Genomic DNA, 17,525 nt, shown 5'->3' with positions numbered 1-17,525 from the left:
TACTCTCCCACAACGTCATCTATTATAAGTTGGGCTTTCCAAATGCTTACTTATTTCCTGGGGCTACATTTATAGCTTTGAAAAAATATCAAATGGAAATTAATAACATAGACCAATAAATAATTCCATTGGTTAGAATAAATCCCAACAGCATTCTGTAATAATTCCTGTTAAAGACCCAAATGCTAGTTGTCACAGTTATCAAGAATTAGTTGGCTCTCGGGCCCCTATTTTTTATTTTTTGTTATGTGTTCCTACTTGCTCTCTTCCTATTTGGCACTCACAGTCCCAAAACACAAACTAACCCCAGTGTTAACCTTAAGTAGGGGACACAATCCTTTGTCCTTGTAGAAAATACATCAGCATAAAGCACAGTTTAACAGCTACTAAATTACCTCATTTCCCCCAGCCTATCTGTTGTACTATCTGTTTTTGTGGCAGATCCCTATTACTAAATGTTTATATATCTGAATTCTGTATCCAATGTTCAGCTGTTCAAACTTAGTTCTGAGCCAATGAGTTGAGCCTCCATTTGGACCCCTATTTTCTCATTACTTCAAAGAGAGTTTTGACCAACAACTCAAAATAGAATCAATATTAAACTGTTAATAGATGTAAAGAGGTGCAACAGTTTCTAATTTTCCATGTGATGACTATGTACATGATATTTTAAACTTTAAACCTTCAAATTAGTTTACACACACATGCGCACACACACACACACACACATATCTTGGATAATTTTACTTCCATGATACTCTAGGCACAGTCCATCTATTTAGTAATCTAGACATTATACGTATTGGGTATATAGCCTATATCCACAAAAGTCTGTGCAATATTCATACTTTGAATGCTGTGCCCAATAGTCCAATAATCCTTTGAATGCTGTGCCCAATAACCCAATAATCCATGGCTTTTCTCTGCTGAATCCCTTAGCAGCTAAGAGATATCTATCCACTCCAACCACAGAAGGCTATTTTCAAGCTAAACCCAATGTCCCACTGAATCATCATGCGCCTGCTATATCCATGTCACCTTTCTCACACCATATCTTTGCACACACCACATTGCTTACTTACTCCAAGTATTCAACTATCACGTCTAAGTAGGAGACTACAAATTCTAAGCTCTTAAGCAATTTTTCAGCTATCAAACACCTTGAAACTTAACATGTCCAAATGCAAACTCATTAACTTCACCCCAGAATCTGTCCTTCCTCCAATGTTCTCCTTCAGTTGTAACACTAATATCCTTCAATACACTATAATCGGAAACTATGGAATTATATTTTACTTTCTCTCCTCTTTAATCTACTTATCCAATCATTTCACAAGTTCTATAAATTGTTAAGAAAAAAATCTTAAGCCGTATCCTTTTCTCAAATTATTAATGATATCTCAGTTCACACTGTTCCTTTCCTCAACTCTTTTGACAGTGTCCTACTTAACTGTCTGCTTTTGTTATCTGCATTGTAAACCATTTGCCATACTGCTGCTAGAATTAATGTTCTTTTTTATATTTTTATTATACTTTAAGTTCTAGGGTACATGTGCACAACGTGCAGGTTTGTTACATATGTAAACATGTGCCATGTTGGTGTGCTGCAGCCATTAACTCGTCATTTATATTAGGTATATCTCCTAATTCTATCCCTCCCCCGTCCCCCCAACCCACAACCGGCCCTGGTGTTGATGTTCCGCTTCCTGTGTCCGAGTGTTCTCATTGTTCAATTCCCACCTATGAGTGAGAACATGTGGTGTTTGGTTTTTTGTCCTTGTGATAGTTTGCTGCGAATGATGGTTTCCAGCTTCATCCATGTCCCTACAAAGGACATGAACTCATCATTGTTTATGGCTGCATAGTATTCCATGGTGTGTATGTGCCACATTTTCTTAATCCAGTCTATGTTGGACATTAGGGTTGGTTCCAAGTCTTTGCTATTGTGAGTAGTGCCGCAACAAACATATGTGTGCGGCCAGGTGCGGTGACTCACACCTGTAATTCCAGCACTTTGGGAGGCCAAGATGGGTGGATCATGATGTCAGCAGATCGAGACCATCCTGACTAACATGGAGAAACCCCGTCTCTACTAAAAATACAAAAAAATTAGCCAGGCCTGGTGGCGGGCACCTGTAGTCCCAGCTACTTGGGAGCCTGAGGCAGGAGAATGGCATGAACCCAAGGAGGTGGAGCTTGCAGTGAGCCAAGATTGTGCCACTGCACTCCAGCCTGGGGGACGGAGTGAGACTATGCCTCAAAAAAAAAAAAAAAAAGAAAAAGAAAAAAACATATGTGTGCCTGTGTCTTTATAGCAGCATGATTTATATTCCTTTGGGTATATACCCAGTAATGGGATGGCTGGGTCAAATGGTATTTCCAGTTCTAGATCCCTGAAGAATTGCCACACGGTCTTCCACAATGGTTGAACTAGTTTACAGTCCCACCAACAGTGTAAAAGTGTTTCTGTTTCTCCACATCCTCTCCAGCACCTGTTGTTTCCTGACTTTTTAATGATCGCCATTCTAACTGGTGGGAGATGATATCTCATTGTGGTTTTGATTTGTATTTCTCTGATGGCCAGTGATGATGAGTATTTTTTCATGTGTCTGTTGGCTGCATAAATGTCTTCTTTTGAGAAGTGTCTATTCATGTCCTTTGCCCACTTTTTGATGGTGTTGTTTTCTTTTTCTTGTAAATTTGTTTGAGTTCATTGTAGATTCTGGATATTAGCCCTTTGTCAGATGAGTAGGTTGCAAAAATTTTCTCCCATTTTTGTAGGTTGCCTGTTCACTCTGATGGTAGTTTCTTTTGCTGTGCAGAAGCTCTTTAGTTTAGTTAGATCCCATTTGTCAATTTTGGCTTTTGTTGCCATTGCTTTTGGTGTTTTGGACATGAAGTCCTTGCCCATGCCTATGTCCTGAATGGTACTGCCTAGGTTTTCTTCTAGGGTTTTCATGGTTTTAGGTCTAACATTTAAGTCTTTAATCCATCTTGAATTAGTTTTTGTATACGGTGTAAGGAAGGGATTAGTTTCAGCTTTCTACCTATGGCTAGCCAGTTTTCCCAGCACCATTTGTTAAATAGTAGAATTAATGTTCTAAGTATAGATTTGGATATCAGATTTAGAGAGTATATTAAAGGCATTTTTACTCAACCCTCCTCTATTAAAATCCACCCAAAACAATATAAAATGTGAACATAGAAGGGAAAAAATCAGCATCAATGAAGCCAGAACATGGTCAAAACTTCTCACTACAAAATATGATATAGACTTGCCAAATACTGTGAAATTTGGATGATAATCAAGGAGGACACTAGAAGCCAACAAACTTATCCTCAGAGCTCAATCAAGTATAGATTTTTGCAGAAATGCCAGAATCCTGAAAATTCTATGCAATAATCTGGTAAGAGCTTTTAGGGGCAACAGCTTCTAAGTTCTAAGGTCAAACATGGGCTACCAGAGAAAAAGGAAATGTACTCATAGAGATTTATTTGATACCAGATGACTGTAGAGTGAAAGGCCATTTGTATCACTTACAATCTGACCTCCTAAGTAAAGGTAACTGCAGGAAGTAAAACAAGATGAAGAATGGAGAGATGACAACAGCATGAGATCTCCAGTGAACCTGATTTCTGAGGCTTTGCTTCCATGATCTAAATAAGAACTGCGGGCTGCTCTACCTCATTTACGACCTCCTGCTCTCCTATGTTGTTTTCCAGCAAATAGGTCCCCTAAAAATGCATTACAATTCTAAATAAATCATCAAGGGCCCTATTCATGGAAATGAGGAAAATAAAGAAATAAAATAATGAATAAAAAACACCAAAAGCAATGGCAACAAAAGCCAAAATTGACAAATGGGATCTAATTAAACTAAAAAGCTTCTGCACAGCAAAAGAAACTACCATCAGAGTGAACAGACAACCTACAAAATGGGAGAAAATTTTCACAACCTACTCATCTGACAAAGGGCTAATATCCAGAATCTACAATGAACTCAAACAAATTTACAAGAAAACAACTAACAACCCCATCAAAAAGTGGGTGAAGGATATGAACAGACATTTCTCAAAAGAAGACATTTATGCAGCCAAAAAACACATGAAAAAATGCTCATCATCACTGGCCATCAGAGAAATGCAAATCAAAACCACAATGAGATACCATCTCACACCAGTTAGAATGGCGATCATTAAAAAGTCAGGAAACAACAGGTGCTGGAGAGGATGTGGAGAAACAGGAACACTTTTACACTGTTGGTGGGACTGTAAACTAGTTCAACCATTGTGGAAGTCAGTGTGGAGATTCCTCAGAGATCTAGAACTAGAAATACCATTTGACCCAGCCATCCCATTACTGGGTATATACCAAAAGGATTATAAATTATGCTGCTATAAAGACACATGCACACGTATGTTTATTGCGGCACTATTCACAATAGCAAAGACTTGGAACCAACCCAAATGTCCAACAATGATAGACTGGATTAAGAAAATGTGGCACATGTACACCATGGAATACTATGCAGCCATAAAAAAGGATGAGTTCATGTCCTTTGTAGGGACATGGATGAAACTGGAAACCATCATTCTCAGCAAACTATCGCAAGGACAAAAAAATCAAACACTGTATGTTCTCACTCATAGGTGGGAATTGAACAATGAGAACACATGGACACAGGAAGGGGAACATCACACTCCGGGGACTGTTCTGGGGTTGGGGGAGAGGGGAGGGATAGCATTTGGAGACATACCTAATGCTAAATGACGAGTTAATGGGCGCAGCACACCAACATGGCACATGTATACATATGTAATAAACCTGCATATTGTGCACATGTACCCTAAAACTTAAAGTATAATAATAATAAAATTTAAAAAAAAGAGGCAAAAGATAGATTTGGATATGTAATAGGCAATATAATCTCAGGAAAAAAAACCTTAAATATAAAAATTCAAAGAAGGAATGATCAACAAAAACCAGAAAAACAGAAGGAGATAAAAAGCAAGCAGCCTAGAATAATTCAGGAAAGAAAATGAATGAAAATAAAAGCCATGTTTAAAATTAAAAAGTAAGAAAATCACAACTAGAAATACATAATCAGAGATATGTGTCTAGTCCAAAGAAATCACTTATACAGAAAAACAAAATAATCATGGGAAAATATATAGATATGAAGAAGAACAAAGTAAAAACAAACAAAATTCACTGAGAAGAGAGCAGAACACAGATTTGAAAAAATATTCAAAGATATATTAGAAGAAAAAATTTGTAAATAATTCCTGATTATGCGATCAAAAGATTATGTCATGCTCAGAAATTTGAGACTGAGTGCTCAACCACAGTGATATTCTGATAATAGTACCAAACTTCAGTAGTAAGAAGAAAAAACTTCATTGAGCATCCATTTAGAAAAACAAGCTTACTTAAAATAACAACAAAAAAATTACGTTGACCTGTGATTTCTCTACTTTACCCCTCAATGCCTAAAGATAATGTTAGATTTAAAAAGACCTGAGAGAAAGCATTTTACACTCAGTCAAAAACTTCCTTCTAGTATGAAAACAAGCAGATATTGTCACCATGAAATAGCTCAAGGAATACAAAACACATGAGTTCTGGGAAAACTACTTGGTGATGTACAGAAAACAGAGATGAAATAAATAACGAGTATGAGAATCCTTTTTTTAAAAAAAAAGATTAAAGGTAACCACTAAATGCATCTAAATAATAGAATTTTCTATATCTTATAACTCAATGAATGATATAATCTTCCTCCAATGATGCTCCTAAATAGAAACTCAGAAGTCATTCCAACTGATCCACATTATATAATGAACTGGTGGTGAGGACTAACAAATACAATATCTTTAATATTTTTCATCTGATTCTTTCTTGTACTTCATGGTCTCAGCCTTGGTCTAGGTCTTCCTCATTTATATGCCTGAAGGGCTAAAGCAGTGCTCCAGTTCCTGTATACTTCACCAGTTTGATCCATCTTCCTCAAACTACTCAAGTGACCTTTCTAATACATACATTTTATTCTTATTTCACCTTTCAGTGATGTTTCACTGCCTTCATAATGAAATCAAGTCATCTTTGTAAAACTTGAGTTGCCTTGCCCAATCCAACCCATTCTTAACTTTTCCACATCATCTGTCACTACTCCCATCCTCACATTATATGTTCTACCCATGCCAAATACCTTGATTTTTTCAGAGACAGACATGTTCACACTCATCTCTGTATCTTTGCATATGAGATTCTCTTTGTTTCTTCTCCAGGTAATGCAATTCTTCAATTCTCAACTTCCTAATAGAAATCTTACTTGACATCTTCTCTACCCTTTCCAATATGGTAACATGCTGCCTCCTATATGATCAATGAGTTCCTTAGAAATAACTTAACCATAGGGTTATCAAGTAGCTTGTTGAGTAAGTTTGCATCTTCTCATTTCTTTGTTTTCATGAGCCACCTAACATGTATCACCTTTAAAAGGTCATGGTTAATTTTGGCCTTTTGTTCTGCCTACAAAATACTGTTCCTTCAAGTCTCAGTTCATATTTCAGCTCTTCTGTGAGAGTCTTTCATGTTAATCAGTCCAAATTAAATGCTTCTGCCTCTATTTTCCCCAAAACTAAGCTCTTACTTTTCCTTCCAGGTCATGTTGTATCCTGTCTTGCATGATAATTTAGTGTTTCTATGTCCACTGCCTCCACAAATAACTGTCTAGAGAGACTGGATAGTTCTTTTTTCATCTGCACATTCCTCATGGTGCCCAGCATTATACTTTGGTGGGAGCTCAGTAATATTGAGCCCCAGGAGGAATATTACAAAAGTAGGCACCAGCATAAATAATATCCCAAAACCTCTCAGAGAAAATGATCTGAAGAAGAGAAAATATGTATTTCATATTAATAATTATATTCCAATATGGTGACTGTCATAATAGAGCTAAACAGAGGGTACTCATGAAGTACTTCTCCCATATTGGAGAGGGAGAGAATTCTGGATTGCTCTTGCATAGATAGGTTTCTCTAGAATCAGTGTGCTATTTATGTTCGTAGAAATCACACTTTATCATGGTTCAATATATTTTAATCTGTTTCAAGCATGGTCCTCTTAATGTAACCCATTTAAAAGGCAATTCATGAGACCTTTTGTATTTAGAATGACAGTGGTCACCATTAAGAGGTTCACCCTATATGCGCGCAGCGTGCATTCTTAGTGATTCATGATAGTTTTTCATAAAGGTTATAAATTGCCATATTTCTATTAGTGTCTATTTCCCTGGTAAGTCTTACTTCCAAAATTAATTCATATTGTAAATTGGGCATCCCAAATCCACTGAAATTATTAGCATTTCTTTAAAAGTTCTCAAACTATACATTCATCAAAATTTGACCAAACTCTTATTTCTGTTTCATATGAAGACAATTTATATTTTAATGCTTTTATTAAGATTTTGGAAAAAAAATGGTAGTTTGTAAAGTGTACAAGTCTCAAATGACAATATCTATTTTCTGCAAATAAAAGTATTAGTGCATATTTGGTAACATAAGCTTAAGCTAAAAAGGGATTGTTTTAGGTCAAATTTCTACTTACCCAATCGATTTTATCCACATTCCAATATTTTTTTAAATCTCGGAACTGTATTAGCATTCCCTTCAGTCCCACAACAATAATGCTTGCAAGGACACACTAGAAATAAAACGTAAGTTGAAGAAGAAGCAACATAAAAATTTTAACTTAAATTTAAAAGGGCTAAGGTATTTTTATTTTTTTGTTTTTAAAGTACTTAATAGAGAAAAGCAATCACCGATTAGAAGACAAAAGCAATATTTATTTTGTTTAAAACTAACCTATTATTGCACTTTAGGAATATAATATATATTCTAGAATTCATAAGGTAATATTTGTACAATTCTAAACAACAAGAGCAAAAAGAAAATAAGTAAATGGTAAGGGTGAACATCATGAAGCTAAATGCCCTCTTAACTAAACGTATTCACGGTCATTTGTTTGAAAAGTATTTGTTGCATGAAATTAAATATGTATATCATATATTTTCTTATAATTGCCTTAAATGTCAATTATCTGATTTCACCTGAAGATATTTATAACTCTCTTGAAAAGCGAACTTGATTATTGGAAGATCCTACCATGGAAATGGTTTATTCTCACTACACACATGAAAAATTAGAATAACAAAGGATGGAGACTGGCTCTCATAAGCCCAGTGTTTTGCATTCCTTTAGTGCCTCAGGCTTATGAAGAAGAAGGTGAAGCACTGGCACTAATGTTCTGAATCACTTTGTGTAACAGATATATCAACAGCAGGAAGCTGTATTTTGTTTCCTATTTCCTTGCCCCAGCACATATGTTTTTCTAACAGTCAAAGTTTTAGTAAAATTTATACTTCTTATAACAGAATATGCCTAGTTCCACTCTCCAGATGAGCACAGAATGAATCTAGTTCCACAATACCATTCTTATGTGAGAGCCAAAAACGTAAAAAAAAACAGCCACGGTACCCCCTCCCACGCCTGCCTCAAATGTGGTAGCTTTCCACACCTCCCCCATTCAAACTTTACTTCTGTAACATGGTTTCTACATTTAGGATTGTTGAGGTTATACTTCCAAGAAATTTTATATGCAATGATTCTCATGAAAAGTTAAATTAAAAAGTAGATAGTGAAAAAGCACTACCGTACCATGGGCAGCCAGTAAAGCAAAGGTCCTATTGCATAGATGACTATAAGGACGAAAATGCAAGATATTAGACAAGCCACCTGTAAAATACAAGACAGACAAAAAGGAAAAAGAAAGCCTTGAACTTTTTTATTATGTCAAAGTTATGGGGTGGGGGGGATAATTCTTAGTTTATCTTGATTAGAAGAAGTAAAATGTTGACACATAACTGTTAAATTGCTTAGACTGTCATTATCTATATTTTGCAACTGAGGGAAGCCAAATGTGACAGCTGACAAACTGGTGCAATCAAATTAAGTCAGTGATGAGAGAAAAGCAATTTCACACAAAGAAACAGGACACCATCAACTTTTATCACAATCACAGTGATGGCTTTTTTGTTTAATAGTGAAAGTGACATTTCAATTAAAATTTCTTTAGCCTGTTGTTGTTTAGCCTGACTCCCCTCCTTATTTTGTAGGAGGTTGTTTGAGCAATAACTGAATATGTGGCTTAGGATTTTTCTGTGCTGATAATTTCCACTGAAGCATTTACCTTGTTCTTTGGATTTCTTTGTTAGTAAAGGCTCAAGTTGTGGAGTAGTTATATGGGATATGGGAGTGATCTCTGGCTGTGGAACAGACTTAATTTTACTAAACCTGAAAAGCCATTAGTATCATGTTCTAACCAACCAGCCTGCTGACAAAAGGCAGTTCAATTCACCTGACTCCTATAGTCATGTTCCACTTGATGGAGAACTTGATTTCACAGAAGCAAATGTTCAGGACCTAATAAAACATTTGGCCAAACTGCCTTCCTAACAAGAGAAAAGAAGGCTTTCACAGGCCATGGAGATGCCTAGAACATCATTATGGAGATATCAAAGGGAATTTGGACCTAGTAGAATGGCTTAAATTAAAAATAAATATATAAACAAACAATCAATATCAAAGGCTGGCAAAAACTCAGCACAACTGGAATTCTCAGGCATTGCTGGTGGGAATACAATATGGTACAGCTACTCTGAAACAGTTTGGCAGTGTCTTATAAAGTTACACATACACTTACCTTATGACTCAGGACTGGCTAAGAGAAATGAAACATATGTCCACGTGAAACCTAAATATATATTTGTAGAACCTTTATTCATAAATGCCAAAATCATAAATAACTAAAATATCAACTAATTGGTGAATAAAGTGTGGTACATCCATACATTAAAATACAACTCAGCAATTTAAAAAAATGGATGAAATTCAAAATCATTAAACTAATGAAAGAACCTAAACACAAAAGGCTACATACTATAAGATTTCATATATATGACTTTCTGAAAAAAAGATAAATTATAGGATGCTAGAGGCTGGAGGTGGAGGCAAAGAATTGACTACAAAAGAGTATGAGAAAACTTTTTAGGGTGATAGAAATATTCTATATCTTGATTTTACTTGTTATACAACAATTTTTTTTTCAAAAAAAGTGAACCGTATACCTTAAAAGAATAAATTTTACTATATCTAAATTATACCTCCATAAACCTTACTTTTAATTTAAAAAAAAAAAGAAACCTGGGAAGAGATCTCTAACAATTGCTTACATGCATATGTCCACACCCACAACACTTGTCCTAACCTGGTACTATTAAAAGGTGTGTGTATATGGGAAGAAGGAGAGTGGAGTGGCAGTAGCTATAATTATTCTGCTAAGCAAGCAGTCATTCAAGGCCTTTCCCTGTTGGCAGAGGCTGAGGGAGTCTGTTCTCCCTTCCATAGTTTGTGTAACTCATCACAAACACTCGTCAGCATACAAAGGGGAAAAACAATTCTTACTTGGGAATTAAATCAGTAGGGGAACTAATGATTGCCCATAAAAAAAGTTATAGTACACCAAATTGTCACTATCCTGATCATTTAGGAGCAATTGGTGATTTTACATAAGAATTTTTAAACAATAAAATATGATGCCTGACATTCTACTATACTGCAACGAGGTAGGTGTCAGAGTGCAGCTCACAGGATCCAGTCAGAGAGCTCAGTCAGTGATTCAGTAATTCCATGTTTACATGAAAAGAAAAAAATACCAACAGCTAAGGTTTATTTTAAGACAAAAGACAATGGCATGTACCCTTTTTGTGGGACTCTTCACTCATATCTTTACAATGTACCTGAAACCAAAACCCTAAATCTTAGGAGCTGGAATGAACTTTGTACACATGCAGTTGCAATTACTTGGAAGGATCTGAGACACAGAGAGGCAAAGTGACTATGCCAAGGTCATAGAGCTAGGGAATTAGAAAGCACGAAGGTAATATAAAATATGTACTGAATTGGGATCCAAAAACGCCAAATATATTTTAAGGTTCCCAAATTTATTATAGTACACTAAAGCTGTTATAGAAATTACAACCTAACTAAATAATTCTATTTAAAAACAGTAAATCACAACTACATTTGGGCTTTTCTCTAAATAATATTTAATTTATCTTTTATTTACATGGTGCTTTGTATGTTCATTAACAACAATTGAATTACAATTTCAGTCTTGTAGTAAAAATAAGTCAAGAGTTAAATGGATCTTATTTGGTAAAGGGTGACAAACTGTGGGTGAAAAAGACTATTTGTTTACCTTAAATGGTAAGTCATGTAATGAAATAGACCATAAGCAAATGGGTTATGTTAGCTCCCTTGACGCACTTGCCTTATCATTGTTGATGCCCTTGGTCAAAAGATAAGTTCATCTAATCAGACAAGAAACTCTTAAGCTCTGTCCAGTGTATATACTCCCCAGTCATGGAAATTAATATTATAGTGTCTGCCCTCAAAGCTCTCAAAATACTGGTATTCATTCTCTTCATAAAGAAGAAGCCAGGACACTGAAATTTGGATTCGTAAAAAATCTTTGAGATTATGCAGTGAAAGCCATCATTCCCTAACTGGCCAACTCAGTAAATTCAAAAAGAGCTCAAATTAAGATCAAATATTTGCAGTGTATAAAATAGAATTCTCTAATTTCAGGATTCTATAATAACCCACTTAAGCTATATTTCAAATATCATCTACTTTCTTCGTATATTTTACTTTGCATATGAGGTAATATTTTCTTGCCTTTCTCTGACCTACCTTGAGAAAAATTTGAAAAACAAGTTAAAACCAGAACAAAAGAGATGAGCTTGTTCCTTTTTTAATCTCAGGAAAAAAAAAACAAAACTAGCTCCTTCTTAATAAGTTTCAGGTTGGCTTCTATTGCACTTATTAAAGTGTTCACACAATTACCCACTGGGCAAACACTGGCTAGGATTTTACTCTTTAACTCCTTCTTTCCACATCATACTAACTAAATGACCAAATATATTTTTGCTTCAAAATCATAACTACTGATATTTAAGAGTTAATTCTGCATAAAAGATAATGAAATAATCTATATTTTATTCTTGTTATGTTCTCAAACAATTATTTTATATGCTCTATGTTAGTTACAAAGATGACCATACATGCATTTTTATTATCCATACCTAGATATTTCGTTGGGAGTAGAGGGAGAAACCAGCCATTTACTTCCTAAGCAGTTGTCAAAGAAGGCATAAGTAGTTCTCGAACTCACTGCATGTGCAGTCTTGTGGAAAGTAGTGAAATGGCAAAAGAGATGGGAAAGGGCAGAAAGAAAAAAAGAGAGAGATGACATTAGATAACTAAAGCTAGATTAAGAAGGTTTTAAAGGAGATGAAAGCAATTAGCCAAATTTCAAAAGAATAAAGGAATACAGTTTGGCAAATTAGAATGCGGAGACAATCTCAGTGTTGCAGAAAAACATGCCAGCTGTTGTTTTCAGTTGTGGCTGAGCTGCCTGTGCAGCAGACACAGTCTCTCATCCCTCCTGGGTATACCTCCCGAGCTCCCTGCAGAGCACCAGCGGATCTCCTCTGTTGGAAGTGAAGAGAAGCATGCAAGGAAGAAAGCCAGGGGACACTGAGCTCCCTCCCATACTTACCGTTCTTTACAGGGAAGGAGAAAAGGAAGAAATGTAATTTTTTTGTGCTATTTGTCTAAGCTGTGCCACAAATTTCTTATTCCCCTAAAGACCTTTCTTAGATATGCATGCTTTGGGTGTCACATCTAAAGGGGGTCACTGTAAAAAGGGTTTCTTCATATGGAAGATAGAAATGAGTCTGATGACCATGGCACTTGGTGTTAAATGATCAGTAACTCTTGTTGTTCCAATCCAAACATTTGGTTTCATTTTCTAAAGCACTGAAAGTCTTTACCATCAACTCACTTCTATATAAAATTGTCCCAAATTCACTGTCAAAACAGCCTCATATGGCTCTTGAGGACTTGAAATTTGGCTAGTTCATATTAAGGTATGCTGAAATCTAAAATACCAGATTTTGAAGCCTTGTACCAAGAAGAAAATAATGTTAAAATATCATTAATAACTTTTAAATTATTAACTTTGAAATATTAACATTAAAATGATAATATTTTGACTCCATTAGGGAAATTAAAATATAAAATTAAAATTATCAATTTCTTCTACTTCTAAAAATGTGGCTACTGGAAAATTTAAATTATCTGTGTAGCTCATATTATGTTTCTGTTCAATAGTGCTTCTCTGAAGTGCATGATCCTAAGCCTGGTTTTAAATGGGATTTTCTGTAAATGTGCAACATTAAGCAGTAATTAAAAAGAACTGTCCAGCCTGACCAGTCTCTTCTAATGTCAGCAAAACTGGTAGTTTTCTTTTATAGTTATTGGAAGCTCTCATTTCTCATTCATTCTTTTCTGTAGTAGTTACCTAACACCTACCACATGCCAGGTCCTGGGCTAGCCACTGAGGATACACTGAACCAAACCAGACAAGGTTTTGTGTTCTCCAGTAGCTTTAAGTCAAGGATAGAAGGGTAACATCAATCATATAATCACAATAATGAACATTTAATGTCAAATAGCACTAAGGACGCTGACAAAGAGGAACATGACAGACCCAGAAGTGGCAGTGAGATACGAAGGATGGGAGGAATTCACATAGAGAGGAAGGGAAAGGCAGCCTCAAAGACAAAGGGAACAGACACTGGAACCCACAAGGGCTGGAGAAGGACTAGGTCTGAGAATGAGGTGGAGAACAGGCCAAGAGGAGGCTGTGCCAGGACGCACTCAGCGCCTGGTAGACAGCAGAAATGTCTGAATTCTAAGACCCACGCAAAGCCTTTTAAGGACTTTAAGCAAAAATAACATGACCACATTTGCATTTTGTAAAGATAACTTTCCACAGAAATACCATTTCTGCAGAAATACCAGAAATGTTTCTGAATAAAAGTCAGTTGGTAAATTCATTAACAAGTGTAAGATGATTATCACTGATCCTTTGATTGGTTGTCATTAGCCTAAAAAATGAAGATTGTTTATCATCTACATCAATTTATGGGATATAAATTTAGTACCTAAGAGAATCAGAGCCATTTAAGGGGTTGTTTTGTGAAGTCATGTCACATAGAAAGTTGCTTTCACAAATAGCCTATTTAGAACAAAACTTTTAAGGCTTGGCTTACATAGTGCTTCCTCGGAACCATGTCAGTTATCAGTTTTACCCACATAAACTTAACACTTGCAATGTTAAAGGTCTGAAATGACTACCATGGGAAAGCATCCTCAATTTGAGTATGCACATTAAATTAGATTCTTTCCCTGTGCAATTTAATGGAAGTTGTTGAAAAGATTAGTGACCATCTCAACAAGCAGAGGAGCATGAAAATATTCTGCCACTGAGCTTTGTTTTCCTGGAATAGCATTTTGACAGATTTCTTTCATTTCTTTTGGAGGCTGATGAATAGAATACCATGCAGAAAAAAAATTCCTATTAAATAAAAAGTCCTTAGAAACGTTCTGTTGTTCTAGCCATTCAAATGTGTGGCCTCCAGAACAGAGAAGAGAAGGGGCGCTGCTTTATCCCAACCATATTAATCAAACATCTGTACACCCAACTCAAGTGAAAAAAAATCCCAAATTTAAAATAAGTATAATCTTTCTCAAATTATTATCTTTCAGACACTCGATATTAAAGGTTACAAAGATGAATCAGATAGACTGATTATTACGAAAATAGCAATTAGAAAAGCAGGGAAATGCCTAAGGAAACCCCAGTTATGGAACACATTGAAACTGGAAACACTTCGAAGATACTATTTCAACCTTTTCTGCCCATGTGATAAGTGAGTATGTTAACTTGCTCAAGATCCTGCCGCACAGTGGGCATCTTGGACTAGAAAACTGTCTCATTGCATCTTGACCATACCAGGATGTTTTAATATTAAATGTTAAAATAAGGTTCTAAACATATTTAATTATTTTCTAAATAACAATAGTAATAATAAAATCAATGATCATTTTTAACATTTTAAGGACATTTAGTGCTCAAGCATTGTGCTAAATAAGCATTATTAACTCCTTTAGTTGTTGTAATAATTCTACTTTAATAGGCAAGTCTACTTATGCCAGAGAGGTCAAGTTACTTGTGCAAAGTCACTTCACTAGTGGTGAAGCCAGGGTACAAGCCCAGGCTCTGGAGCCCAACGCTGAACCACTCACTATGTTTATTGAGCCTGACAATGAAGAGAGAAACCTAATACATTCACTCTGGTAAGAAACCAGGAAGAAAGTACTATAGAATCCAGCTGGCACAATAGCTCATACCTGTAATCCCAACACTGGGAGTCAGAGGTTGGAGGATTTCTCAAAGCCAGGAGTTCAAAATAAGCCTGGTCAACAAAGCAAGACCATTATCTGTACTAAAATTTGAAAAAAAAAAAATAGCAAGGTGTGGTGGTGCACGCCTGTTATTCCAGCTACTCTGGATACTGAGGTGAAAGGATACTTCAGACCACAAGTTTGAGGCTACAGTGAGCTATAGTGGTGCCACTGCACTCCAGCCTGAGCAACAGAGCAAGACTCTGCCAAAAAAAAAAGAAAAAAAGAAAAAAAAAACTGCTATAGGATCCTAGGATTTTACAGATAGAAGAGTCATCAGAGTAGGGAATAATATTAAAGTTCACTGCATATTAAACCTTCAAATTTAGATCACAAAGATTTGAGAGTACAGTTTGCAAAAATGTTTACGCCACTACAGAAGATGACCCTACACTTGAAAATCAAAGCTGTGTAAAAATCTGTCAGATTACTTGTGTCATATAAACCAAGGTCGGAGGAGGATTTTACTTCTTAGCTGATGAGCTGTGGCAATTATTTGTCAAATTACAATAGATTCAGAATTGGTTACTGCTTCCTTTCATGTACTCTATGATACATTGATATGAACTTGATTAGCTAGTTTTATGTTAAATTTTAAGATCTGTTGATCACTTTCCCACAAGGTCAACAAACACATACTTTTCAAACTTAATTATTCTACAACCTAAAATAGTATTTAATAAGGAAGACTCCCAATGAATGTTTGAGTTAGCCCAAATAGTGTTTTAAAAGTTCTCATTTGATTCCTATCTTAAACATAAATTGTTTGAATAATGGTTTGCTGTTAATGTTAATTTTTTATACTAAGATACACATGATTTTTCTTGTGTATCCAAGTTTTGAAGTAAATCTATCTGGGTTCCAATCCCGGCTCTGCCATTTACTACCTCTATGACCTGGGTAAGTTACTTTAACCTTCTTTCCCTCAACTTTCTCATGTAGAAACTGAGGATAATAATTACACCTCCTTCTTAAGGTTGCCTAGATCATCAAAGGTTTAGTTTTTCATAGGATTAAACAAGTTCATTTATAACAAAAGTATGACAGCCAATGCCTGGCACACAACTCAATATCTTTTCCACCACTACCACCATCATCATCAATAGCAACATCTTCATCATTATGATTGTCATCATCAACATCGTCATCATCATCATCATCTTACCAGTACCCAGCAGAATGCCTGGTATATCACAGGCCCTCAATAGATGTCAAATTGATTTGAGTTCCTAAAAAATATAATTGTTTAACTTAAAATATGTGCAGATATCTTATTATTCATTTATATACTTGTACATATCTATAGATAGAACTTTCAGTGTCAAAGATTGATTTCTTTTTCATATAATCGATTTTATATATTTAAAGGAAGTTAACAAAAATGGGAAAACGTCATGTTGACCATTTAGATTAGAAAGAAAGAGAGAGGCACCACTAGAGGGAGCTTTGGCCTCTAAGGTTGCTAACCATAAAGCTTCAATTTGTACAGAATTTTTTAGTTTCCTTGTTGAATCCTTAGCTTTCGTAAGTGTCATTTATGGGATAGAGATGAGAGAGAGAAGGACTTTCTTAAAACAACTTAGAAAAAAAATTAAATAAGTGAAAATAGTTTCAGGGCTTTAAAGAGAAGCTAGCTCTTCCCACTCTCCTAGAATGGGAGTGAAGGCCCAGCAGTGCTTTGTCCCTGTGGAACAATTCAGTTACCTGTGTCTTCGCTCCTGTGCTGTACAGGCCAGCCGTCCTTCCCATGGCAGCAGCACTTGGTATGCAGAAGAAAAATGAAGAAACTATATTGCTGAGGCCATGGGCCAAAAATTCCTGCAAGATTCATGAGAGAATATATAATATCTTAATCACAATAGACTTTTAGAGACCACAGGTACAATTTGTCACATAATGAGGCTTGTTTGTATTCAGATTTTGTTCTCCCCACCAGTTGGGATTTAACAATTACAATACAAATAGCTAACATTTATTGGGTGCTTACAATGAGCAAGAAATTGTTCTCAAGCACTTTACTCATTTAATCCTCAGAACAACCTTATAGGGAAATACTATTTTTTTTTAATGCTCTCTGTCATCAATTTCTC

General features: G+C 35.6%; 1 protein-coding gene across 4 annotated transcripts in view; it reads right to left on the bottom strand.

Moving 5' to 3' along the window:
- SLC26A7 (solute carrier family 26 member 7) overlaps positions 1-17,525 on the bottom strand; it is a 188,660-nt gene that overhangs the window by 37,550 nt on the left and 133,585 nt on the right. For all 4 annotated transcript variants that reach the window (NM_001282356.2, NM_001282357.2, NM_052832.4 and 1 more), the window contains 3 exons: positions 17,140-17,253; positions 8,719-8,796; positions 7,610-7,705 (listed from right to left, as the gene is read on the bottom strand). In NM_001282356.2, coding sequence (NP_001269285.1) covers positions 7,610-7,705; positions 8,719-8,796; positions 17,140-17,253 — 288 coding nt within the window. The remainder of the gene's footprint in view (positions 1-7,609; positions 7,706-8,718; positions 8,797-17,139; positions 17,254-17,525) is intronic.

Source organism: Homo sapiens, chromosome 8 (assembly GCF_000001405.40).
Source record: "Homo sapiens chromosome 8, GRCh38.p14 Primary Assembly".
NCBI classification, from domain to species: Eukaryota; Metazoa; Chordata; class Mammalia; order Primates; family Hominidae; genus Homo; species Homo sapiens.
Note: the sequence above shows the minus strand (reverse complement) of the source record. Positions and strands in the feature narration are given on the sequence as shown.